The 27,047-nt window shown below is 45.8% G+C and overlaps 1 protein-coding gene and 1 long non-coding RNA gene across 8 annotated transcripts in view, besides 3 other annotated features; both read right to left on the bottom strand.

Annotated features, from left to right (window-relative positions):
* Positions 1–27,047, bottom strand: part of WDR25 (WD repeat domain 25) — a 153,819-nt gene that overhangs the window by 70,540 nt on the left and 56,232 nt on the right. The window contains exon 1 of one of the 7 annotated variants that reach the window (XM_047431772.1): positions 10,716–25,296. The exons of the other annotated variants lie outside the window; for them this stretch is intronic. Coding sequence (XP_047287728.1) covers positions 10,716–10,838 — 123 coding nt within the window. The 5' untranslated portion in view covers positions 10,839–25,296. Of the gene's footprint in view, positions 1–10,715; positions 25,297–27,047 lie in introns of those variants that run through there. 7 annotated transcript variants of the gene reach the window in all.
* Positions 433–7,615, bottom strand: LOC124903383 (uncharacterized). Its single transcript, XR_007064336.1, has 2 exons — positions 5,431–7,615; positions 433–5,305 (listed from the first exon to the last, which is right to left on the bottom strand). It is a non-coding gene; the product is annotated as an uncharacterized LOC124903383 (long non-coding RNA).
* Positions 11,806–12,306: an enhancer, noted in NCBI's record as "H3K4me1 hESC enhancer chr14:100913795-100914295 (GRCh37/hg19 assembly coordinates)". NCBI's record gives its function as "activates a minimal SCP1, AML or CMV promoter by ChIP-STARR-seq in naive H9 embryonic stem cells {active_cell/tissue: H9 hESC(naive)}" and the evidence as "EXISTENCE:reporter gene assay evidence [ECO:0000049][PMID:30033119]".
* Positions 18,518–18,812: a silencer, noted in NCBI's record as "tiled region #12420; HepG2 Repressive non-DNase unmatched - State 23:Low". NCBI's record gives its function as "represses a minimal TATA promoter and a strong SV40 promoter by Sharpr-MPRA in HepG2 cells {active_cell/tissue: HepG2}" and the evidence as "EXISTENCE:reporter gene assay evidence [ECO:0000049][PMID:27701403]".
* Positions 19,985–21,184: an enhancer, noted in NCBI's record as "CDK7 strongly-dependent group 2 enhancer chr14:100904917-100906116 (GRCh37/hg19 assembly coordinates)". NCBI's record gives its function as "activates an origin of replication core promoter dependent on BRD2, BRD4, P300/CBP, MED14 and CDK7 cofactors, with strong dependence on CDK7, by STARR-seq in HCT116 cells {active_cell/tissue: HCT116}" and the evidence as "EXISTENCE:reporter gene assay evidence [ECO:0000049][PMID:35650434]".

Genomic DNA, 27,047 nt, shown 5'->3' with positions numbered 1-27,047 from the left:
TCAAGCTGTTGGCAGGGTTGGTTCCTTCTGAGGGCTCTGAAGGAAGAATCTGTTCCAGACCTCTCTCCTTGACTTGTAGATGGCTGTCTTTGTATTCACATAGCTTCTCCCTTATAGAAAGGGGAGATTCGGAGATAGATATGCATAGAGGGAGAATTGGATAGGATGCACCCCTAATGACCTCATTTTGACTTGATTACCTCAGTCATGACCCCATCTCCAAATAAAGCTACCTTTTGAGGCACTGGGGGTTAAGATTTCAAAATATAAATTTGGAGTTGGGGTAGGTACAATTCATCCCATGATAAATTGGTATAATTTCTTAAGTGGTACAATTCACTAGCGAGTATTCAACTGGAGTTTTCTTTGTGGGAAGGTTTTTAATCATGAATTCAATTTTTTAAATAAACATGAGGCTTTGGGGGTTATCTATTTCTTCTTGAATGAGCTTTTATTGTTTGCGTCTTTCAAGGAACTCTTCCATATCATCTAAGTTGTAGAATTCATTGGCATAAAGGTGGTCATAACATTACCTTAGTGTCTTTCAAATGTCTGCAGTATCTATAATTAGGTCACTTCTCTCATTCCTAATATTAGTAATTTGCAATTTTTCTCTGTTATCTCCCATGAGTCAGGCTAAATATACCTTTCATTGGTCTCAAAGAACCAACTTTTTGTTTCACTGATTTTCCTCTACTATTTTTCTATTTGCTATTTCAGTTATTTCTGCTCTTATTTTTATTGGCTTATTTGGGTTGAATTTGCTTTTCTTTTTCTGGTGTCTTAAGGTAGAAGCTGAGATCACAGATTTGAAAATTTCTTCCCAACTAATATAGATATTTAGTGCTATAAATTACTATCTGAGAACTCTTCTAGTAACACTGCACAAATTTTTTATATTGTGTTTTCATTTGCATTCCATTCCAAATACTTTCTAATGTCTCTATCTGTTTCTTCATTGACCCACGGGCTATTTAGAAGTGTGTTAGTTTCCAAATATTTAGAAATTGTCCAGATACTTTTGTTACTGATTTTTAATTTAATCCCATAGTAGTCAGAGAATATACTTTGAATGATTCCAATCTTTTTAGATACACTGAGACTTGTTTTATATGGTCTCTCTTGGTGGACATTCCATGGGCAATTGAAAAGAATGTATATTCTGCTGTTGTTACATGGAGTGTTCCATAAATGTCAATTAAGCCAAATTGGGTGACAGTGTTGTTCCAGTCTTATAAATCTTAACTGATTTTCTGTCTACTTGATCTATTGATTATTGAGAGCGGGGTGTTGAAATCTCCAACTATAATTGTGGATTTTACTATTTCTCCATTCAGCTTCTGTCAGTATTGCTTCATGTATTTTAGAGCTCGCTTATTATTTATATAAATATTTATGCACCTAATGTTTAAGCAGCTGACATTACACACCTAATGTTATGTCCTTTGATGAACTGACCCCCTTGTTGTTATGAGTCTCTTTATCCTGGTACTATTCTTTGCTCTGAAATCTGCTCTTGTCTATGTTAACTCCAGCTTTCTTTTATTACTATTAGTATGATATATCTTTTTCTATCCCTTTATATTTAACTTTTTGTGTCTTTATAAAGTGGGTTTCTTATAGGCACTGAGTCTTGACTTTTTATCCAACCTAACAATCTTTGTCTTTCAAATGGGATGGGTAGACCATTTCATCCATAATTGATATGGTTTGGGTTTAAATCTTGTTATTTGTTTTTATCCCATCTGTTCCTTGTTCCCTCTTTCCTAATTTTTTTGCCTTCTTTTGCATTGAATATCTTTTGTTATTTTATCTCCCATTGTTAGACTTATAACCATAAATCTGTTTTATTACTAGTTGCTTTAAGGTTTACAGCATACATCTTTAGCTTATCACAGACTACTTGCAAGTAATATTATCACTTCCCCTATGAGAACTGTAACAATAATATACACAATCTCCTCCATCCTAGCCTTTGTGCTATTGTTATTGTGTATTTTACATCTACATATGTTACAAACGGCACATTATTATGTTTTTACTCTAAACAGTCAATCATCATTGAAAGTGATTTTTAAATAAGAACAAAAAACATCTTACATTTTCCCACATATTTACCATTTCTAGTGCTCATTATTCCTCTCTGCAAATGTAGATTTCTCTCTAGCATCATTTTCCTTCTGTGTCAAGGACTCCCTTTATTAACATGTCTTATAGCGCAAGTTTGCTGACGGCGAAATCACTTCGGTTTTAAAATGCCTGAAAAAGTAATCTGCCTTTCTTTTTTAAAAGATATTTCACTGGATATTAAATTTGGGGTTGACAGTGGTTTTGGTTTTGGCTTTTCCTTTCAGTGCTTTCAAACGGTGTTCCACTGTCTTCTGGCAGTATTTCCAATGAGAAGTTCAGGTCACTCTCGTCTTTGCTCCTCTGTATGTAATGTGCCTTGTTCCCCCTTCTGGTTACTTTTAAGTTTTTTTCCCCTTAACAGTAGTTATAAGAAATTTCAGGCCAAGTGCGGTGGCTCACGCCTGTAATCCCAGCACTTTGGGAGGCCAAGGTGGGTGTATCACTTGAGGTCAGAGGTTCGAGACCAGCCTGGCCTATATGGTGAAACCCTGTCTCTATTAAAAATACAAATTAGCTAGGCGTGGTGACAGGCAACTGTAATCCCAGCTACCTGGGGGCTTAGGCAGAAGATTCGCTTGAATCTGGGAGGCGGAGGTTGCAGTGACCCGAGATCACACCACTGCATTTCAGCCTGGGAGACAGAGTGCGACTCCGTCTCAAAAAAAAAGAAAAGAAAAGAAAAGAAACTTCATTATAATATACCTTGGTGAACTTTTTTCTTCATGTTTCCTGTGCCAGGGGTTCACTGAGATTCTTGAATCTATGGGTTTATGATTTTCATCAAATTTAGAAAAGTTTCAGCCATTATTTCTTTAAATATTTTTTCTGTTCTACCCTTCTTTGAGGACTCCACTTTCACATATATTGGGTGAACCTGAAGTTGTCCCACAGCTCACTGATGATCTGTTCATTTTTCCCCCAAGCTTTTTGTTCCCTGTATTTCACTTTGGATAGCTTCTATGACTTCAAGTTCGCTAACCTCTTTTATAGTTTCTGATCTGCTGTTAATTCCATGTACTGTGTTTTTCACTGAAGACTTTGTTTCATCTCTAGAAGTCCAGTTTGGATCTTTTTTGTATCGCCCATGTCTCTTCTTAATAAGCTCATGCTAGTCTCTACCTTTTTGCACATATGTAATATGTTTATAATAGTTGGTTGAACAGTTCTTGTCTACTCATTGTATCATCTGTGCCATTTCTGGATCTGTATCTATTGACTGATTTTTCTTCTCATCATGGTTCATATTTTTTTTACTTCTTTGCATGTTTTGTAATCTTTATTTGGATACTAGACACAGTAAATTCAGGAGGCTGAGTACTCCAGCCTGGGTGGCACAATCACAGCTCACTGCAGCCTTGAACTCCTGGGCTCAAGCAATCCTCCCGTCTCAGCCTGAGTGGCTGGGACTACAGGTGCATGTCACCATGCCTACCTAATTTTTTGAGACAAGGTCTCACTACATTGCCCAGACTGGTCTTGAACTCCTGGCTTCAAGTGATCCTCCCACCTCATCCTCGCAAGTAGCTGGGATTACAGGCATGCACCACCATGCCTGGCTTCACATTCATTCTTGAAGGATACAGAATCATGAGTTGACATGTTCCTAGTTTCCTATCTTTAAAGATGCCATCAAAGATACCCCACCTCCTCACCTCCACCTCATACCTGCCATACACATACTCCATTACTCCATTTCAGTCAAATCTTCCCCACACCCAGCCTCCTGATAGGAATATTTAGGAGAGTGAGGAGACCCAAATATTTGTTTTGTGGGTGAGCCACTGTGTCATAGATAACAAGAAGGCCAGCAGTGATCTACAAACTGATCTCATTCACTATAAGTATGAACTTTAAAGATACCATTTTTAGTTTTCTATCTTTAAAGATACCATTCCATTGTCTCTAGACTCCACTATTTCTGGTGAAGAGTGAGTAGTTTTTCACATGATTATTCTCCTCCACATGACACTCATTTTTCTCCGACTGCTTTCAAGATTTTCTCTTCATCTTTGGTTTGACTACCATATGCCTAGGTGTGGTTTTCTTTGTATTTGTCCTGTTTGCAATTTACATGTTTGGGATTTTTTTTTTTCTTTTAAAAAAGAAACTCACCAAATATGGGGCATTTCCTGATATTATTTATTGAAAATATTTTTTTCTTCCCCATTCTCTCCCTCCTCTCTTCTGGAGCTCAATTACTTGTATAATAGATTTTCTGATATTGTCCACAGTTCTCTGAGTATCTGTCCTTCTTCTCCTCCATCATTTTTCTCTGTTTTAAGGCTGAATACTTTCTGTTGATCTATCTCCAAGTCCACTGGCTCTGTCATTTCCCTCTGTTATGGAATCGAAATGGTGAATTATTCATTTCAGATACTGTATTTTTCAGTTCCAGAATTTAACACTTGTTTTTCTTGTAGCTTCTATTTCTCTACTGAGATTCCCCGTTGTTTTACTTGTTGCGAGGATATTTTCCTTTGTGTCCTTCAGCACATCTATAATAACTGTTTTAAAATACTTGTCTGCTAATTTCAACATTGGGATCATCTTGGCAATAAGCTCCTTTGATGGCCTTTCTCTTGAATATAGGCCCCCTCTTCCTGTTTCTTGCTTTATCTAGGAATTTTGGGTGGAATACTGAACATTACAAAATGTATGTTATCTCTAAATTCTTTTATGCTCCTCTGAAGAATATTGATTTAAAAAAAAAAACACGCAGCTAACCTGGCTCTACTCAAATTTCAAACTCTGTTTCCCTTGCGGTGTGCAGCAGCAGAAATTTCTATTCAGTTCTCTTTGCCTTAGTTGAGCTGCTTAGAGTCTGCATTCAAAGATTTGGGTAGAGTTTATAGCCACTTTCCAGCTGCTGTGGTTACCCCAAACTCTGTCCTCTGGTTCTTCAAGCCAGTAACACTACAGATTTTCTATACAAATTTTTAGCAGCCTGTCTGGCACAGACTGGAGCCTATGCTTAGGCAAAACAAACAGACAAAATCATAAAAGTCAGAAACTCATCCAGTACCATTTCCTTCTTTGGAGGGTAGACGTCTGTCCAGTCTCTGCCTGCTTTTTTTTGCTCTCCAATACCTTCAGGTAGTTTTGTTGTTGTTGCTGTTGTACAGTTTATAGTTGTTAGCTGTGGGAGGGTTAGTCTGCCAGAACTACTGCTTCATTACTGGAAGCCAAACATAATTTTCAATTTTAAGCATCTGTTTTGCAGTAATTAAAAAGTAACACTTCACCCCACCTCCTCACCTCCACCCTCACACCTGCCATACACATACTCCATTACCCCATTACCTCAGTCAAAATCTTCTCCACACCCAGCCTTCTGGTAGGAATGTTTAGGAGAGTGAGGGGATCAGAGTATTTATTCTGTGGGTGAGCCACTGAACACCACCACCACCAGCTTCACAAAAATTTGCAGAGAACCTGGGAACACTTCAGGGTTTGTAGGATACATGGTATGGGAGTTTGAGCCAATTTCATTTGCATCTCTAAGGGCAGGGTACCCAAGCTGATATCTGGGTTACAAAGGGCTCACATTTGCAGCAACAGCAAGAACAGCAGCAGCATTTTCATTTTACACCATCTTCCTAAGTGCTTCCTAAAGTGTTTCTACACCAAATGATGCAAGGTCTCTCGAAGGAAAGGTTGAGGAGAAACTCGATCAGCATCTGTAAGTACCTGAACATTCATTATACAGAGAATTCCAAGAAATTATTCTCTCTATTCAATAAGGTCAGAACAAAGGGAAGGAATTTTAAATGTCAACAGAAGATGTAAAAGGGCAAAGAAGAGTTTTCTTAAAGCAAAAAGGATTAAGAGCGAGACATATCACAGAAGGGGCTGAAGAGAGTGTGGAGAGCTGGAGGCTGGGGCTTCTGGGGGCCATCAGCTACACCCACTTCGCAGAGTGGGAAGATCCCTCCACAGCCTGCCCAGTCCCCCAGCAGGTGCAGAGCCTGTCCAATGGTGGGAGTACAATGGTCTCAGGAGGAGCCAGTGCACCTTTTGAAAGCATCATAATCTGGAACTTCATATCCGGGACATTTGAAAGCATCATAATCCAGGGCATTATTCTGGGACCGCCTCCAGGTAGCAATAATCATGTATTGAGCATGTTACTACATGCCACACATGCTTTTCAGCACTTTACAATTGAGTTAGTTGAGTGAACTGAGTTAACCGAATTAACTCAATCCTCTCCACAGCCCTATGAAGTAGAAAATTAGGTCTGTTTTACAGATGAGGAAACTGAAGCATAGAGAGGTTGCCTGTCCCAGGCCATACTGTGAGAGGTGGGGCAGGCACCTGGACCAAGGCACTCTGGCTCGAAAGTGTGCAGGTTTCAGCACCACTAATGCTCTTCTACCTCCCACCTGCAATACCCCTCAAGGTCCAACCCACTGCCCTAGTCCTGCACTCCAGAGAAATACAATGCAAAGCCAGACTAACCCCTCTTCCTACTGCCAGCCTTTAGGTTGTCTCGTGGTGAGTTCCCCACTGAATCCCTGTCTCCTAATTTGATGGTCCAAAGTGCTGAGGTCCTCCTTTATGCCCTTCCCCCTCACTCGTCAGCTCTGTCAACCCAACCACTTCTCCTTGCCTCTGTGGCTCCATCCTCTGAGCACCATCCTCTCTCCCCAGCACCACTGCAACAGCCTCAAAACCGATGTCTCAAGTTTCACAGGATGAAAGCATTATGGAGAGGATGGTGGTGATGGCCACACAACACTATGAATGTATCTAATACCACTCAACTGTATGCTGAAAATGTCTAAGATGGTACATTTTATGTATATTTTACCACAGTAAAAACATTTTAGAAAAAAACAAAAAACTGGTATCTCAGCTTCCACTCTTGCCCTACAATCTACTGCCACACAGCAGCCAGACTGGACCTCTGCATCAGAGTCGAGTTATAGCCCCCCACCCCACAAACTATCCAGTGGCTTCCCATCACACCTGGAATAAATCTTGTGTCACCTGCCCTGACTCCACTGTAGCAGCACTGGCCTCCTGGCCTCTCACACTCCAGCATCTTCCCCCTCAAGGCCTGGGCACCTGCTACTCCTCTGTCCAGGTGCTCTTCTCTACCCAGCTGCTGGGTTCCCTCAAGTCTCTACTCAGAGAGATGTTCCCTGAACCACACGATCTAAACACTGCTCTCATCACTCCCCTTCATCTTAGCCAGCTCTACTTTTCTTCAAAGCTTTATGTTACTTCCTAACATATTTATTTATTTGCTTATTTGTTGTTTATTTCTCCCACTAAAATGTAAGTTCCATGGGGGTAAGGACACTATCTCTTCATTATCTGTTTTGTTCGCTTCTATATCCCCCAGTGTCTTGAACAGAGTCTAGCATATACTAGAAGCCCAATGTCTCTTGAGTGAGTGACGGCATAGATAGAATAAATGGATGGATGGATGGATGGAATGCATGGATACATGAAGGAATGGAATGGAACAGAACGGAATGGATGAATGAATGAATGGCATGGAGGGATGGGTTATGAATGGATGATGGACGGATGGATGGATGAATGAATGGAATGAAATAGATGGATAAATGAATGAGATGAAGGGATGGGTGATTAATGGAGGATGGATAGTTGGATGGATGATGGACAGATAGAAGGACAGATGGACAAACATGTGGACAAAAGAATGGCTATCCTAGCTTTGGGTCATCAGCAGATTGGAAAGCGGACCTCCCTTCTGTAACATTACCCAATTTATTTATTATTAGGCTGTGGAAAAGAATGCTAAGTATAGTATCCTTTAGTCATGAGAGACCTCCTCTATTCTGAGAGTAAATAATTAATTCTCAGAGTTGAGTGCTCTTGTTCAACAAGCCATAGGTCATCCAGTTGGACTGTATGACCTCTTTATCTCTCTTACCTTCTCAAGAACAGTCTGAACCTCTCTGGCACCACAAGAACCTTAGGCTGGTTCCTGCTCTTCTGTAAAACAAGGATGGGATGGAATCACCAAGGCTCTAAAGGCCTGAGGCTCTGAATGTCAGCACCTTTCCAAATCAAGACACACTCAGCCTCTGGCCTCAATACACACAGATCCTATAAGTCTAACAGCTCACGTAAGAATGAATGAGCCAGGCAAGGTGGCTGATGCCTGTAATCCCAACACTTTGGGTGGCTGAGGCGGGCAGATCGTTTGAGCCCAGGAGTTCGAGACCAGCCTGGGGCAACATGGAGAAACCCTGTCTCTACTACGGTGGCACACAACTCTAGACCCAGCTACTTGGGTGTCTGAGGTGGGAGGATCACCTGAGCCCAGGAAGTCAAGGCTGCAGTAAGCCATGATTGCACCACTGCACTCCAGCCTGGGTGACAAAGTGAGACCTCGTCTCAAAAAAAAAAAAAAAAGAATGCTTTGGCGAATGAACGCTGGCTCCTGGCAAGCATGTCTGTCTTTTAATCCTGCAAGGCCATGAATTCTACTGCCTGCCTGGCGTCTATTTTCTCTTTCTCTAGTATAAGCGTCCCTCCCCGACTCAGTCACTATGGTACATGGGGCTTCCAAAACTACCTTTTTTCACTCTTGGAAAATGGGTTTTCCACTTGGGCACCTCTAGTCTCCCAGCTCCCTCCCATTCTCTGTAATTTCTCAGCACTCTCTTGTGGACCCGCACAGCTGGAACCCGAGGTCTAAAGCCTGAGCTGCTTTGACGTTGTTAGGTGCTCTTTCACACCTGCCCCACCTGTAGGGACTGTGAAGTGCTTTTGGGGTTGCATGTCACATCTTTCCTCAAGCCACAGGCCTCTTCCCTCCTCAGTGTGCTTAATCTGCACACAGTAAGAGGGGCTCTGGACTGCTCCTACTCTCTTATCCTAAGACATACTCCCTCTCTCAATAACTGCGGGGAAGAAGAGGTTGTGACCTGGTTAGAATGAGTAGTAATAATGTTATACCTTTATTTTTGTGCATCACTTTCCACATTCATGTGCCCCTCACACAAGCCCACAAGGTTGTCAGGGAAACTGTCATCTCCATTTTACAGATGGGCAAAGAGAGGCTTAGAGTGACTGAGTGACTCTCATTCACTCGCTGGGTTTGTTCAACAGATATTTATGCCAGTCTGCTATCTGCCAAGAAATTTGCTCACTGCTGGAACTGCTAGAGAACAAAATAGCTCATGAGAGTCTAGTGGAAGAGAAAGATATTAAGCAACAAACAGCTCTTCTCACTCAGATCAGTGCTGTGAAGAACAGAACTGGCTCTAGGAGATGACAATAGCAGGTGGAACAGATTCACCTTGATTTCCACTGGGGAGGTCAGCAGGCTTCTCCAGAGGAAGGGGTGAGGTGGGGAGGGCCTGAGCAAGGCATAGTCACACAGCCTGGGGGACTGGCGGCCAGTGTGGCTGGAGCCCTATGTGAAGGAGGAGAGCAACAAGAGTGGGCAAAACGCAGGTCACCCAGGGCTCAGCAGACACTTGCAAAAGTTTGGAATTTTTCCCTCCATGTAAAATGGATGGTTTTTTAAGCATTGGAGCAAAGTGATAAGCAGATTTTTGTTTTTAAAGAGCATACCAGCTGCTATAGGAAAGGCCAGAATAACACAAGGAGACAAGTGAAGAGGGTGCGCAGAGGGGAGAGAGCAGGCCTGGGCCGCCGGACTGTGGACGCACTGAATGCCCAGTTTAGAGAAGAATCACTGGGACTTACAGGTGGATTAGAGGGGAGTGAGGCAGAAGGGGAGCAGGGGAGAAGGCAGGGTGTCGTGGCACATGGCGTAACAGCAGGAGACAGCCCCCTTCTGATCACACCATAGCAGAGGCAGGGAGAGCCAGAACCTGGGACGTCTCATCCTATGACCGCATGATGGTGCCACCTCTACAAGTGAGGGGAGGCGTCACCTAAGCCAGGACAAGGAGCTGCGTTAAAATCACTCTGTCTGCTTCATGCACGTGCAGGGACTCAGGGATGCTCTCAGCAGTTACTGAGTGGGGGCTCCTGGAAGCATCACCTGATTTAGTTTTAATGGCCTCCAACTTAATTCCTTCTGAAGGCCCAGTCTGGGTGGAGGCAGAGTGTCCTGGCTGTCATACATAGCCATGTCCCAGGGCACAGGCCTCCTGACCTCAGCTTTTCCAGAGACCCAGCTGAGACAGCCTCTCCCACCCCAATGCAACAGCCAGCCAGGGCAGGGCCCCGGAATAGAGGTGACCACTCTCAGAAAGTCAGGTTGCTCATGTCCTGCTGCCATGGCAACCGCCACAGGCCAGTGCCAGGCTGTCTCTGCTCCCAAAGGAGGCCTCCCGGGGCAGCCCTGTAGCCAGGCTCCAACAGGCCCATACCATTATCGAAGCCACGGTTCTCCCTGGCCCTCCCTGATGGGGCTGGGATGGAAGTGATCGTTTTCATCAAGATTTCTCAATTTGCATAAAAATGAGTACTAACCCTTTGCTCCAAAAATTCCATCCAGAAGCCCAGTAAAGGATGCTCTCCGAGCCTTCTAGCCATAAGGCCTTATCTTGCCAAGCACATCCCAAGGGCTTAGGGGGTTGTAAACAGCTACAGTGGGAAAGTCAGTGGCTGACTCCGGAGGCCCCACTCACCTGCCCAGCCTCATCTCCCATCACGATCGTCCTTGCACGCCACTTTCTAGGTGCGTTTCCCAAACTCACTCTGTTCCTTGAACCTCCAGCCTTACATATGCCTTCTCTCTGTTTGAAGTACATTCCTCTGTCTCCACCTGGTTGGCTCCTACTCTTCTCTCCTGTCTCCCATGAGACACTCCTTCCGCCAGGAAGCCCTCCTGACTCCCATAAGCCAAGTTAAGGTCCAGTGGATGTTCCCATAGGTCTCCATGCAGCTAGGTAGGCTGCGTTGTTTTTCCACCTCCAGTCATTGCCCTGTTCTTTTATGTGTAATGTTTTCCTGGTTGTGAAAGAAACAATGCATTTTTATAATGACCCCATCACCACCACAAGGCTATGGTTTATCTAGACTGCCACATGCCCACATTGCCAGGTGTTTACGCAGGTGACGGAGTCCTGGCAGTGACCCTCACTCCTCTGAGATAGTGTAACTGGGCCACTATACAGATGAAGAGACTAGGGCTCCCAGTAGGAAGGAAGTTGCCCAAGGTTACAGGACAAGCAAGTTAGCAGGCCCATGACTCACGGCCAGCATGCATGTGCTTCTCTTTCTGGGGCGCTTCTCACCTGGGGCCCAGGTGTCACCACCCTGGGCAACGGGTAAGATGCTGAAAAGGAACAGAGGGGACACTGGATCTAATCCTTGCACTCAAGCACAGGTAAGCCCTGCAACCTGCTGGCAGTTTCCACAGTATTTTTCTATGCAGACATTGTTTCTCCTGAGATCCTACTGAATGTACAATCTGGCATCCTGCTTTCTTCACTTAACATTTTCCAATGTTCCTAAAATCTTCTTTTTTTTTTTTTTTTTTTGAGACGGAGTTTTGCTCGTTTTCCAGGCTGGAGTGCAATGGCACGATCTCGGCTCACCACAACCTCCACCTCCCTGGTTCAAGTGATTCTCCTGCCTCAGCCTCCAGAGTAGCTGGGATTACAGGCAAATGCCACCACGCCTGGCTAATTTTTTGTATTTTCAGCAGAGACAAGGTTTCTCCATGTTGGTCAGGCTGGTCTCGAACTCCCGACCTCAGGTGATTCACCCACCTCGGCCTCCCAAAGTGCTGGGATTACAGGCGTGAGCCACCACGCCCAGCCCATTTTTTTTTAAAGTGCAGTTACTCATCACTTTCCAAAGAAAAGAGCACAGATTTGGCAGGGGCCTTGAACTTGACCATTTTTCCCTGGTGCCAATAGCTCTACGCACACAGCAAGAGGATTTAACAGCCTGATTCAGCACGGTGGGAAGGAGTAAATTGCTTAAGTCTGGGAAATACATTACCTCAATCTCGCAAATGGTTTTTGAAAATCATTAGGCCACAGAAGTGTAATTCTGTAGGCCTGGCTTTTGCTGCCTCCCCCACCCTGCTCAATACCACCCACCTCACCATGTCTGGTGCCACCAAACAGAGCACTCAAGTCTGGGTGGCAGCTGGCTGAGCCCCTTGCCCCAGATTACCCCAACCTCCCTCCCAAAAGACAAGTAAAATGTGACCTCAGGCTCCCCAGTCTGTTCAAGCCAGAGACCGGAAGAGAGCTGCAGACACGTGGCAAAGAGCAGCCCCTCCTCCACTGCAAGGCTGGCACGCCCACGCCTCAGCACACGTGCCCCCCTACTGCCCAGCACTGCTGCTAACTCGTGGGAAGTTGTCTTTGTGGGCTCCAGGTTGGTGTCCAAAATTAAAATCGTTGTAGATTTATGGGTCTCCAGTCCATTTCTGAGAAACAATCCCCAAGTCTAATCACTTCTAAAAAAGTCACCTAAGGACAAATGGAACAGCTTCCAGTAGGCTCCAGTTCACTCAACACTGCTCAGCATCCAAGCTCACGCGCAAACCTGGGGTTCTTTTGGGTTGAATATGCAAGGTTCCCTAACAAACTGTACTTAGAATGCATTAGCTGTTATTATAAATGGAGCCCAGAAATTTTCTAATAGCGTTGAATTAGTCTGTATAATTACATTACTTCAATGAGCATGAAATTATCTTACCTATTAAAGTTTAACAAGTGATTCTAAAGGATTAAGAAGAATCATGTGATGGGATAATAATGATGACTCCGTAGCACTTAGTCAAGGATTTCTGTGGCCACAGACGATAATTTTCAGAAGCTGCTTGGCCATGTAACTAACAGCCAGGAATCCCTGCATCCATGCGGTGCTGACAGCAGCAAGAACTCACAGGGTTAGGACATAACCACGCCCACAGAGCCAGGAGTGACCAGCGACACCTGCCCAGATCACAGAAGCCCCTCTATCGTTGGCTGATCTGCCTGTCACTCCTCCTCATTCTTACTCACAAGCTTTCAGACACAGCGTGTGGCTTCTGATATTTCTAAGAAACAACACAACTGCTGATTAATTTCAAGCTGCTGTTTTTGAAGTGAATTATGATTGGTATTGTGTTACTTACCATGTGTTGTGATTTATACATTTTTACTTTTTTTTTTTTTTTTTTTTTGAGATGGAGTCTTCCTCTGTCACCCAGGCTAGAGTGCAGTGGCATGATCTCAGCTCACTGCAACCTCTGCCTCCCAGGTTCAAGTGATTCTCCTGCCACAGCCTCCCAAGTAGCTGGGATTACAGGCACCCACCACCATGCCTGGCTAATTTTTGTATTTTTAGTAGATGGCCTAACCATGTGGGCCAGGCTGGTCTCAAACTCCTGACCTCAAGTGATCCACCTGCCTTGGCCTCCCAAAGTGCTAGGATTACAGGCATGAGCCACCACGACCAGCCCATTTTTACTAATTCTGATCATCAACATCAACAATGCTACTTGTCATGGCTCTGTGTCACTTGTGACCACCACCGCAGGACCCCAGGGGCAGGAGCTCACAAAGCCAGAAGGCTCCTCCTCTATACTCCAACTGAGCTTCATGGCTACCCTTCCCCACCACGCCAGGAGGAAGGTGGAGCACAGCACTGAAACAGTCAGGGGGTATAATATCTGGGGCAAACACCAAACTCAGCAGTTAACCCAAAGGCTTGGGGTCATCCTGGGTTGAACCCTCTTTTCATCTACCAGGATGGCCAGCCTCAGATCCTTTACCTCAACACTGGTATGGCCGGGCCTCGCCCCGTGTCTTCTTGGAGGGGCAGCATGGGTTGGAATCACAGGGTTCTAAACCCCAACTACTTCTTCCAACTGTGGTGGAAATGGGCTCTGAAAGGATGGCCGATGCCTGAGTCAGGGTAGAACAAAGGTTCTTTCTAGCCTGGTCCTTATTCTCCCAGACGCTTCCAAACACGTTCTGTGCCCACCTCCTCCTACAGGGAGGTCGGAAGCTAAATGAAGCAACCTGGGGGTTTCAGAACAAAAGCCTGGAAACTTCCTACTAAAATCCAAAGACAGGAAGCCTAGAAGCCATCCTGTCCCCGTCTCAGCCCTGGCAACAAGGAGGCTTTGATTCACCTCTCAGGCCCCTGAGTCACATGGCTGCAGCAGGTCTTTCCTTCTCCACTCCCAGCCTGCAGCCTATGCAGCTTCTCAGTCTTCTTTTCACCTTTACAAAAGGATGTTTTGAAACCCTTGGTGTGAGTTTTATGATAAACTAGTTTAAAATATTTTTTGGAAGTTGTGGAGTAAATTATAGAAAAAGACCAACAAAGCTAAGGCTCTGAGGCAAAATTTTATTACCACCTTGAAGGAGTTCAGCATCATTTTTCTTCCAGTAAACATGTAAATCTGGTGTCCAAAACAACACAAGTTACTTTATTCCATGGCTTATTTGCATGATTTTTAATGACAAACAGTAATAAAGTGTAACCGAATCCCCTAATCTTAAATTCATCCAGACTTTGCTGCAGAGAAATGCATTGATAATAAATTCTAAAGTTTTGTCTGAGAACTCATAGGGTAAAACTCTGAGGTTGCTGGGAGATGTGAACAGAGTGAGTGAGAGGGTGCCTGGTGGGGATATGGGGTGACAGCAAGAACACAGAGGCCCAGTTCCATGGGGGACTTCAGGGTCAGACACCCCTGAATCCTAACTCTGTTCTGCCCCTTCAATCCATGTGGCCTGGGTAAATGACCATTGTCTCTGAGCTTTCATTTCAACAGCTAGAAAACGGGGCTAATCTTCCCACTTTCCAGAGTGGTGGGGAAGCTTAAAGGGAATTAAAGTGACGAAGTAGAAGGTGCCACAGAAGGCACTATCAACTTTGGTTCTTCTCCTGTCCCTCACTGCCTGCTGCCAAGAGAGCGCAGTGTCGGTACACACCAGGCTCAAGTCCCTAAGGACGTGAGGAGGACGATGAGCTGTTTCGCCGCTGCCTCCTTCTAGACACAGCCCTCCAGATGAGCCACTAGTACTGTGAATGCACCAACCATCCACCCTCTGTATAGTCCCAGGGGCCTGAAACCAAAGGCCCAACCCAGAACTTCTGCAGGCCACGGAGGGGCATCAGAGGCACTTCATCTGCCAGGTACGGTGGGGCCTGGGGCCTGGGGCCTGGGGCCAGTGCAAGAAGGAAGTCACCTGGACCCAGACGTGTCCATGGAAAGGTAGCAGCTCTGGCATGGGCCTTAGCTAGGGTAAGGGGGACCAGCAGGCCTGACGGGGCCCCATACACCTGGATTCTACCCTTCACTATATGCTTTAGAGATGTCCATCCTGCGGTTCCCTGCAGCAGCCTCCCTGACCCACAACTAAGTGGCACGGATGCACTCGCAGGCATGCCCCTCAGTGGCTGCAGGGCTCCCGGGAGGACAAACTGCTACCTTCGAAGTAGCAAAATTTCCATCAGCACCAGTGAGGCTTCAGCTCCCTCTGACCGCCAATTTCCTTCCATTTTCACGGGTTCAAATGTTTCCTCTCAGCCTCAAATTCAGCCAGACACAACTTAGTCCTTCTCAGGCATGCCCCGCCAGGTGTGCCCATCTTCCTGTGGGCCACCCCTTGCAGAATCCTGAGGCCACAGCTGCTGGTCTCAAGGCCAAGTGGGGCTATGGACAGGATAAGGCTCTGGGGCTGGGCTCCTGGTGTCTAGGCCTGGCTCTTCCTCTGGCTGACAGGTGGCTGTTGGTTCACCTCTCTGAGCCTCAAGATCCTAAGCCGCAAAACAGAGAAGGTGGTATCTCCTCCTCAAGGTTGCAGGGAGCATTAACAGAGAATATGCATGAGGAGCACCTAGCCAGCGCCCGGCACTAAACGACAGCAATTATTATTACTCATGCTCCAATCACTCAGTACATATTCCTCATGCCTTCCAAATGCGCTCATTTCACATCAGCCCGGAGCGCTCCCAATTAATGAAAGAACAAATTAAACTGTCATTACTTTGGTTTAATTCTGTAATTAAAGAACTTCAAGAGGCGACAGGCTCTAAATAATGCATGCTTTTGTCAGAGATATGTTGAGTTCTGGGCAGAGAGAGAAAATAAAAGGGGAAAAGCTTTGGGGAAAAGGAGAGAGAGGAGACATGAGGCTGCAGCAATGATATTTATCCCCCAAAATCAGAGGGAACAATCGAGTGACAGCTGAAGGACTCAATTTGTTTTTGAATTAAGGCTTCGGCTAGCACGGAAAGCAGAGAATGGAGGGCCCTGCCCCCCACCCCCACCCTATATCTGCCATAAACAGAAACGGTGTTAGGAAGAATTCAGTCGGTGGCTTTTCCAGTAGATGGGGCGAAGCAAGGCAGTCATTCTGACATCTGCTTGTGTGTGACTCTCCTTTTTATCTCAGTTCAGGGGAAAGAGAAATAAAGAAAGGAAAAGCATGTGGCACATAAATTTTTCTAAATGTGTGTCTCTTACCCAGCAGATCATGCAGCTGCCACGTATTACAAACCTAATGAGGCTGTTATATGCAGTGGTGAGGAAAGACAGGCTTGGAGTCAGAAGAGCAATATTCAAACCCAGCTCCACCTTGCCCTGGCCTAAGGTGTGAACACACCCCACAGAGCAGGCCCAGGTTTCCACCTGCAGCCGGGCAGGACTCAGAGAGACAGGGAGCAGTGGGCACCTGTGTGCGAGCGCCTGGGGCCTGCCGAGCAGTGCGGTAGGTCTGGGTGGGGAACCAGTCAGCGGGCCTGTGACTTCAAATTAAATAACTTACTGAGCTGTTTTCTTCTTGTTAGGCATGAATGTTTCCATAAATCCCATACACTGTGTAATTGCTATGTCCTGATTCTCTGAATCACATAAAGAAATGGCTTTCAGACATGGCCTCCATTTATGCTTCTATTAGCTGCAGAACCCAAAGGATGAAATGTTATTAAATAGAATGTTTTTTTTCCTGCAATATCGCTAAGTTCCAAGAACAGCTTGGAGGTTTCCCTGAAAAGGTTGGCAAATGTGCTTAGTACACAGAATAGCAGCTGCTTTACAAACTGCATACTTTTATTAAATTACTGCCCCTGCAACATCCTGCCAGCCACAGGATTAAAAGGAAAAAGAAATTAAACTGATGGGAATGGTTCCTGAGCAACAGGTCGAGATACAAGGGGACAGATCACCTTTGAAACCTATGCAGTTCAGGGGCAAGAGAGAGGGTTCTGATCTGGTTTTGTGTGGGAGAGCCTAGCATATAAAATGTTAATAACATAGACCCACTATTTCAGTGCTGAAATGTTGCTTATCCACAATGCTAGATGTGTGATCTTTTTCTTTCCTTCTTTCCCTGCCAGCCTGGGAGCTCCCCCAGGGTGAAGACCCCTGCCTCTGGTACACCACCATCTACCCAAGGCCTGGTGGACCACATGGCATGCAGTAGGTGCTCACTAAATACTGGCTTTGTGGCTGAGGGAATGTGTGCACCCTCAGCAGAGGGCTAGCCACAAAACAGGTGCTCAGGAAGTGTTCAATTCATCAGTCCATCCAGGAGCAGTGTGATAAGCACACTCTCCCTGTAAGACCCTCTGCAACCCAAGCCCATCCCTCCAAAAGAAGAGCTCAAGCATGGCTCTGGCCACAGTCAAAGCTGGCCCTCTCCATGTTCCTGCTCCTCCTGGCACCTCCCAGCCCCTGCACTGCTGAAAGGAAGCCCTTGGGAGCAACAGCCTGGTGTCAGATCTTCTCTCTGCCTCTCTCTATGTGTGACCCTGAGCAACTGCTTTACCCTCTAACAAGTTTCTCAGCTATAAAATGGGAATAAAAATACCTAACAGAGAGTCAGTGCAAGGCCTTCAGCCCAGCGCTTGGCATGCAGTAGGTGCTCAATACCTGGCCACTGCTACTGAGACTGCATCTAGGAAGGAACCGATGCTTGTTGACTAGGCTCTGTATGCCAAGCACCAATCAGGGGCTTTCCTCCTACTGTCATTTCATCCTGCAGCAGCCCTATGACAGAAGCGAAAGTAGGATTGTCCCATTTCACAGATAAGGAAACCAAGACCAAGAGCTTCAGTAACTCAGCAGGCAGGCTAGGAAGCAGCAAAGTCCACCTGCGCTCCATGTGGCCCCCAGCCCATCTGCAGGCCCCAGCCAAGCTCTCCTGTGTGTCTTCCACCCTCCCCTGCTGCCCCTCTGTGTTCCCACACTCTGGCACTCCAAGACCCACACACTCTGGGCACTGCCACTTCCAGCATCTGCCTGGAGAGCTCCAGAGGTAAGACCTGTCTGGAGAGGAGACTCCCTTCCTGTAAGACGCAAACCACCCCCTGCACTGCCTTCCCTGCCCCACCCCACCCCCTAGGCAGTGAGGGTGGCCCAGTCTTCCCCTACAATGCTCAGTTCTCACAATCATCCCCATAAACATCTTTCTAGCCCCCATTCTACAGCGACCACCCTTCAAGGAGACAGCGCCCAATATCACACACAGGACCTGGCACACAGAAGGAGCTCAGCAAACGTTTGATGACTGTGTGGTAAATGAACAGAGTGCCTCCTATGTGTCCCTCATGATGTCCATACCAGAGTGTTCTGGAAACCTAAGCCAGGAAGCAGAGTCTTATCTCCCTGGCCCAGTTTCAAGACCAAACCAGACAGGGCTCTGTATGTCTTAGTTGATTAAAGTGATGAACAGGAAGAAAACACAGGCTGTTTATTGGCTCCACAGAGAATCCCTTTCTCAAAATGCCAGGGACCGGGTACTTTGACACAAATTCAGCAGCAGCATCTTTAATCATTTCAGGGTTAATAAAAAATGTCAATTACATTTGTCATCAGGACTATCCTGGGGGAACAATCCCAGTGCAGACAATCTCTGGCCAAATGACAGCCTGGTATGTTTGTCACACATCCCTCCAGCTGCCTCGCTGACGAATTTATCGAGGTGGTTACCTCCCCCGGCCTGTCCCTTCGTAAATAATCAGAAGTAATATGGATCTCCCAAATAATCCTGACCTGAGAATTGCTGCTCTGGCTCTCCCTAAATAAAAGAAGGGAATAAAAACAGGGAATGAGACTAAATAGACCAGAAGGTGAAGGTTGCCTGGAAGGATGCGTATAGCAGCCAGGGCAGCCTGGGCTCCTTCCACATGGACAAAGCAGGAGCCTGTGTTTTTCTCCCAGTGTCCCTCAGTGCTCAGCACAGCCTCCAGAGAGCTAGCATGCTGAATCATGACGGCCAGCCCCTCCCATGCCCCAAAACCTTGAGGGTCCCATCCTACAGCCCTTTCTATCCGCCTGTAAACAGCCGCTCAGAACAGACTAAGTGGCATGCCTCCACGGGACTCAAAGCCAGGTGTCTGGCGCCACCCCGCTGCCGTGGCCGAAGGGCTCCCTGACTGTGGCTGCCTGTCTGCATTTTGAGAGTAGCTATTTTGCAATCAAAGAATTCCTGCACATTCATTTGCCAGGTGCAAACGCATCCAAGAGGAAAACACTCCCCTGCTATGACTGACACACATAAAGAGAGGAATGGAGTCAGGTTGAAATTGAAAAAGGAAAACGCTGCTTTCCACCCCAGGACTACTCCAAATGTTCTGAAATCCTGAAATGTGCCTAAATGAAGTGTTCTATCTTTATCAGAGAGTGACTCGAAAATGACTATGCTGCTTTTAGGGACGCTCACATGACAGTTTCCCATGTTTGTTTCTTAACAATGGATCCTTTCCTTGACAAGTGGACCTGAACATGCACTGGAAGTCAGGGCCCAGGCTTCCTCCAACTGGAAGTGGGGTTTGGGCAACTCCCTCAGCCTCTGCCACGTCACACGAGAGCGCTGCCAGCTAGTTCACTCCCATCCACTGCAGCATGCTTTACAAATGGGAGGAATTTTTGCTATAAAACCCTCAAACATTCAAGATAACATTTATTATATTGAATGGAGAAAATATGGAGAGTGTGAAAAATATATAACTGTTTCTAGTATTCATTTTAAAGCTATGGCAATTCAAAGAGTTAAGCTGAGCACAATGCCTTGAAGACCACTGTTAGTTTCTCCAACTCACTGTCACATAAAAAGCGTCCACCCCCACATGGCAAGCAGGGGCTGCCCAGCTGTCCTTCCAGAGAGTTCTGTCTCCAAGGAGAAATCCAGGTGACGCTTTTTCAGCAGCCCCACAGGCATTAGGTTTGCAAGTTAACTTTCACAAGACAGGCAAAGGCTCTTATTTTGACGGCTTCCCTCCATCTAGGCAATTTTATCACCTTCATAAACACTAACGGCTCTTGAATACCTGCTGTGGGCGGGCCGTGCTGTACCAGGCTGAACTGCACAACGCCACACAAAATGCCATCAGATGAGTCACCTGTCTGCACTGAATCAGCTCTGTGATGCACAGGAGTCCGGGGGCTGAAGCAACAGCAGCTTCGTCACCGAGGCCAGAGCCATCCACCACGCATTCTGACAAGCAACAGATGCCAAAGGGCAGGGTCCTTCACTTCCTGAGTGCCCACCAAGTGCCAGGTGCCTCACACATGTTGTCTGTGATCCTAACAATAACCCAGGAGGGTATTCTGCCACCAGTCACCAGTGGGTGCAGGGAGGGTCAGAAAGGAGGACTTCACTTGCCCAGGGCATAGAGCTAGGAAGTACCTGGGCAACTGATGCCCAGCCCCACTCCCTACTGCTCCTTGCCTCCATCTGCAGGAGGGTGCCCTAGCCACCAGGGCCAGGCCATTTTTTGTGGGCAGGTGGTCAATTGGCCATGTGCTAAAGGAAGTGCAGACCCCTAGAGGGGTTCTAGAAGGAACTCTGGCCTTGCAGCCAGGCAGTTCTGAGTTCAAATCCCAGCTCTGCCTCTTACCAGCTGTGTGACCCTGAGCATATCACTGTACCTCTCTGAGCCTTACTTTCCTCAGATATACAATAGGGAAAATGTAATGAACCTCACAGGGTGGCTGAGAAGACTAAACAAGATTCAATGAAATAACATGAAAGCCACTCAACCTCTCTCTTCTCCTTAATCAAGTCTGCCTATAATCAGCTTTGGATGAAAAAGCCAGAGAATCAAACCTAACTTCAAATCCCACCTCCCAGGTTTGCCAGCTGAATGATCGTGAGCATGGGGCAAAACCTCCTCTGGCTCAGCTCCCCATAGCCACCTACAGGGCAGTGCAAGGGTTAAGGAGCTGGTGTCTGGCACAGAGTGGGCGTTCAATAAAAGCTCATTCAATTCAATTTGACTTAATTAAAAAACCTTACTCATAGCCTCGAGAATGGCAGGAGCACAGAGGGCTAAAACTACAAACAGAAATCCATTTGAAGCCCATAAATTTTATATCCTGCCAATGAACGCATTTTCTTATTAAGCGACAATATTATAAACCAATTCTGAATTCCTGGCAATGCCTAAGAGTCATATCTTCATTGGGCTGAAAGCTGTTGTCAAATCACAAAGAAATTGAAGGGGTTCTAAAACAACTCATGGAAAGGAATAACTGAAACCAAGTTTACTGAACAAATCAAATTATTTCACTACGTGCCTGTCTTTGCAAATCTTCTCCAAATTACACTTCATTACAAGACTTGGAAATTAGACACCAGCAACAAAATAAGAAAGCCAGAACAGATAAATATTTACATAATCATGAGAATAATAATATTCTCCTGTGCAAATCTACCTACTACTTTGTTTACTCTTATTAACTCAAGTTTAGAAATGGGACAATCATCTGAAACAGGGCCCTGGGGATTTCTTTCCCAGACTCCAACTACTTCTTTCTTTTGCGAAAACAATGGTGTGTCAGGAGAAAAAAGGATGAGAAGGCAAGGACAGAGGGAGGTGCAGTCCTCCTTGAACCCCTTAGCATCCTTGGTGGTCAGCTCAGGGCTCACAGCAGCTGGGCAGATAAATGCTCTGAGCCAGCTCCTGTCTTCTCTTCTTCACTAAGGGGGCGTATAACACCAGTGCTGTGGGTGAACGTAGGGTTGGAGAGGTAGAGGGAGAGAATGGGGGTTAACAGTGGTGGTGACAGTAACATCAGTAGCAGTAACAGTAATACTACTAATACTAATAATACTAGTAATAATACTAATAATAATAATGGCAACCAATGCCCAAGTGTCTGGGTGCTGGACACATGTCATCCCAAATCCCTACAACCACTCTCTGCTTAGAGGTATGTCTCTGCTTCACAGTAAGGAAATCAAGGCTGCCAGAAGTTAAGCAACCCACCTTGCCCAAGGCCACACAGCTAGTAAGTGCCAAAGCTAAGGTATGAGCCCAGCTTCGGGTGGCTTTTTTATGCCACTATAGTACCACTTCTTGGGCACTGAAACCCAAGAGCTGAAACAGTGAGACTCAACACTCAGCGGGCTCAGACTGGAATCTCAGATATGGGTCTGGGTCTTGCTAAAGCCAAGCTGTGGGGTCTCTTGAGGAGAGGATGGGGCTAAGGCTGGGCCGTGGGGGGCTGGGCAGAAGGGACCTGCTTTCTACAGGCAGGTGCTCTTCCAGGAGCAAGACCAACGTGTGGGTTGGGCCCTGGAAAGAAGTCCCTGCTCTGGGCTCCACCTCCTCCTTTCCTGCCACTCTCCTGAGCCCTCAGCCACAATAATCAAACATGCATACAAGCATTCAACACACAAGTACCAGGCCCTTACTCCAGCTCCAGCCCCTCACCAAGCACTGAAGGGACCCAAATGGCTAAGGCACAGCCCCAGTGCTAAAAGGCCTTCAGTGCTCTTCTAGGCAAGACTCTAACTGTTGTGCCACATTTTCCAAAACAAAAAGGCAGAACAGATGGCTCAGCATATGCTGTGGCACAAGGACAGCAACTGAAAGCAGGGCCAACCTAGCAAACCAAGGCCCTCTGGGAGCCAGAGCTTTTGCTTCTGGGGTGCGCATGTACCCTCCACAGCTCAGGGGGCGAGAGCGAAGAGACGCTCTCTTCTGCACATATGATGCCCAGCCAGATGTTCCTAGGTGAAACCCAACCCCAGGAAGGACCCAATGACATGGCAAAGTAAAACCAAGCTACACAGGAGACTGACACACAGGACACTTGTCCCCAGTGTGCAGAGTCCTCCACGACCCAAGAGACACCGAACACCTGACTCAGAGGCTACCTGGCCGGCCTAAAGGGAAACCCAGGCCATAGTTCATGGCCACACTGCCACATAGTGCCATCATATAGGAAAGTTAGAATGACAAAAGTATCTGGCTGCAAATCCATGGAGCCAACATTAAGATGCCATCAAAACATGTAAGCTCAATGTGAAACTATTTCATTGCAAATTATACCGCTGCAAAATAAACAAAGGAAATGAATTCTAAAAAGCATTAAAGTGACATTAAAGCAAACTGAACTCCTTTCCCAAGTACAAGCAAAGTCTAAGTATGACAAGCACACACAGTCTGTGGTGAAAAGGCGGGCCCAGGTGTAGTAGTCAGCCCTGCGTCCCGGCTCCCACTGCTTGTGGGACCCTCCATAAGCGCTTCACTTCTCTGAAACTCAAAGCACTCATATGGAAAATGCTGGATGGGAGGACTCAATGAGATAAGGTGAGAAAGCTTTGTTAGCAAAGCTCCAGACATAACACATCCCAAAGACACATGGCTAGTCAACAGCAGAGCTGAGAATTTGACACCTGAATCTGGCCTCAGCAGATGCAAAGAACTTGCTGGAGAGGCCAGTGGTACTATCCTTCCCCATTACAGAGAAGACAATTAAGGCCCAAAAAGATTAATGATTTGCTCAGAGTCAACTCTTCCACGGTGCTGGCCAGCAGCTACACTCCCTCCTCTCCAAGCCTCACACCAGAGGACTCTCATACACACTTAGGCGTCACTCTTCTCCCTGGAAGTCACATCTAACCCCCAAACCTCACTTACAAGCCCCTCCTAGGTGATCCACAGCACTGTGTCCTTCCCTGACAGGCCTCACTGTCCTTCCAGCCATGAAGATCCCCATCTGGACTTGCAGATGCTCTCTGAAGTCAGGACAGCACCTTCCTGCTCACTGTGTTAACCTCACCGCTCAGCCATACTGAATGAATGAATGAATGAATGAACGAATGATTGAGTGAATGAATGTCTTGTTGCCCCCATAGCAGGAGCAGGTGGGATCACAAGCCCTCATCTCTGGATGTTAAGGCCAGGCCAGGGCTCTCTCCACTTCAAGACAGCTGAGTGAGCTTCTCTTTCCGTGATCTCCAAACTTTTTTGATCACATATCACTATCATTTTTAAAAATTTTTCTGAGCACACAACTTTGAGTACATAAACCCTATTCTATTGATGTGTTATACTCATTACAAAACATGTACACACAACAAATTTTAAAAGAATGATAAGGAAAGCAATTATAAGGGGAATAGCTCCTCCTTTCTCCTGGGTTATCCTTCCCTCCCTGGGGCCTTTTTCCTTAGCACCCAGGGTGATGCGAGCCCTGCTCTTGGCATCTCAGGCATGCAATGAACCCCAGCAGGAGGAGCAAGTACACCCGTCATTCACAAGTTTCAGTTCTGGCACCAGACAGTCTGGCCTCAACCTCTAGGACCAGCTCACATCTGTGTGACGTGTGGTCATGGGACTACTTTGAGCCTCAGTTTCCTCCTCTGCCCACATTACCACTCTTCCAGAGTCAGGTGGAAAAGACACAACGCCTGGTGGGGGCTGTGCTGTCATTAGCACCTAGACGCACACTGCACAGTTCTCATGCACCTACATAACAGCCAAAATGGAGACCACAACAGACCCCTCAGGAGCAGAAGGAAGGATCAGGGACCCCTCAGGACTAATGTAGCCTGCTCAGGCGCACAGTTAAATGAGAAACGGCAAACTGTGAAAGAGGATTCAGAATATTCTACTTTTTATGAAGAAAAAGAGCGGAATAAGAAACTACTCATTAAAGCAAAAAGAAACATAGAAGGAAAAAACACAGACTAATGAGACTGGTTCCCTACAGGGCAGGGTGGGAGCTGGGTAGAGAGGAAAAAGGGATTGGAGTGGAAAGGAGGGGGAGCACCTCTCTGAATAGAACTTTTTGTACAGACCTGCCTTTTGGAAATGTCCGTGGTTCACACAAAAGGGAGGGAAGAGAAAATCCCTAAGATTGGGGAAATCTCTCAAATAGAATACAAAGAGAAACAAAGGAACCAAATTGTATTTCAAATGAATAACATAACCACACTGAAAGGGGGCAGCAGGGAACAAACCCAAGAAACACCTGAAATGTGGACTATATGCTCTCAGTCTGAAGTCGAAAAGAGCTCTAATACTGAATTCTGATCACTAGACCTCTTTTTGCAGAAGTTAGCAATTTTGAAACTACTTTCTGACATTCTAGAATTGAGCAAATACATAAATACATTGTGAAAACCAGGAAGCCAGGTTTCACTGTTGGAGGGGGGAGTGACAAATATGGAAATGGAAAAGGGCAGAATGAACCCCACAGCACTAGATCAGGATTAGAGACATCAGTGTAAACTCACAGGTTCTCCTGGAAATAACTGAATAGAGGCATGTGTGCATGTATAGGCAGACATCTATCGCCAAGATCTGTCTTCTGAGAAGCAGTGACCCCCAGTAGCAATGAAGCAATGAGCACATCTAATACCCAAATCCCAAATCTTGGTTTCTCTCTCTGGTTTTTTTTTCTTTTCTTTTTTTTTTGTAGAAACGGCTTTTCACTATGTTGCCCAGGCTGGTCTCAAACTCCCGGCCTCACGTGACCCCCCTGCCTCAGCCTCCCAAAACACTGGGATTACAGGCATGAGCCACTATGCCTGGCCAAAATCTTGGTTTCTAAATGCCTTTCTCCACTAAAAGGAACCAGAGCTCCTTGGAGATGGCTGATTCTAGGACTGGGGCAGGAAAAGAATAAGTGAGCCCAGAATATCTTGCTGTGCCAAAAAGTCAAGTCATGTTCAAAGAATATGGAGACAGCAGCTAGCGTGAAGAGATTTCTCTTATCAAATGATAAAAATGTATTATTATAACTTACTGTTAAACTAAGAAACTAGGAGTCCATGAGTCCACATGGATACAAAATAAACAGACTAATGGGGGGGGAATGAAAACTCTTCTTTCTAGTTAGGATGAGAAATCCCCACGTGACAAGCGTGATCATAGGGACTGACTCAGGTAAGAATCATGGATGGATGCTAAAACGAGTTGATGAGAGGTTGAGGAATAACAGGATACTTATGTTGTCTCAAAGTGCCTCTCCATATTATATTTTTTAATTGCAAAAGGCAAAATATTAACTACACTGAAGAAACCTGGCATCTTAGCCAAGTGATCAAAGTTAACACTGCCAGCAACAGGACTAACCAACATGTGCCTCCTGGTAGGAAGCACTGAGAAACACAGCATCACCCGGAACACTCCTGCCAAAGGGCATCACCTGAACCTAATCACAAGGAAAGACTAGACAGACCTACATTGAAGGTCTATAAAATAACTGGCTTGTACTCTAAATGTGAGTGTTGTGAAACTGAGGAACTGTTTCAAACTAACGGAGACTAAAGAGATAGAATGATGAAGGGAACACATGACCATGAATTCTCTTTTGCTATAAAGGATATTTTTGGGACAGTTGACAAAATATCAATAAGGTATGTACAGTAGATAATACAGTCATGTGCTGCATAACAACATTTCAGTCAATGACGATCCACATGCACGGCAGTGGTCCCATAAGATTAGACTGTATTTTTACTGTACCTCTTCTAAGTTCAGATATGTGTAGATACACAAATGCCCCATTGTGTTCCAATTGCCTACAGTATTCAGCACAGCCACATGCTGTACAGCTGTGTAGCCTAGGAGCAATGGGTTATACCATATAGCCTGGGTGTGTAGTAGGCTGTACCATCTAGGTTCATGTAGGTACACTATATGGTGTTCCCACCACAACACTGTCTAACAACGCATTTCTCAGAACATATCTCCATTGTTAAGCAACACATGACTAGTGCTTCAATGTTATTTTCCTGATGTTGATGATTACACTGTGA

This window comes from Homo sapiens, chromosome 14 (genome assembly GCF_000001405.40).
Source record: "Homo sapiens chromosome 14, GRCh38.p14 Primary Assembly".
Taxonomy (NCBI): Eukaryota; Metazoa; Chordata; class Mammalia; order Primates; family Hominidae; genus Homo; species Homo sapiens.
The sequence above is the reverse complement of the archived record's forward strand: the minus strand, read 5'-3'. Positions and strand labels throughout refer to the sequence as shown.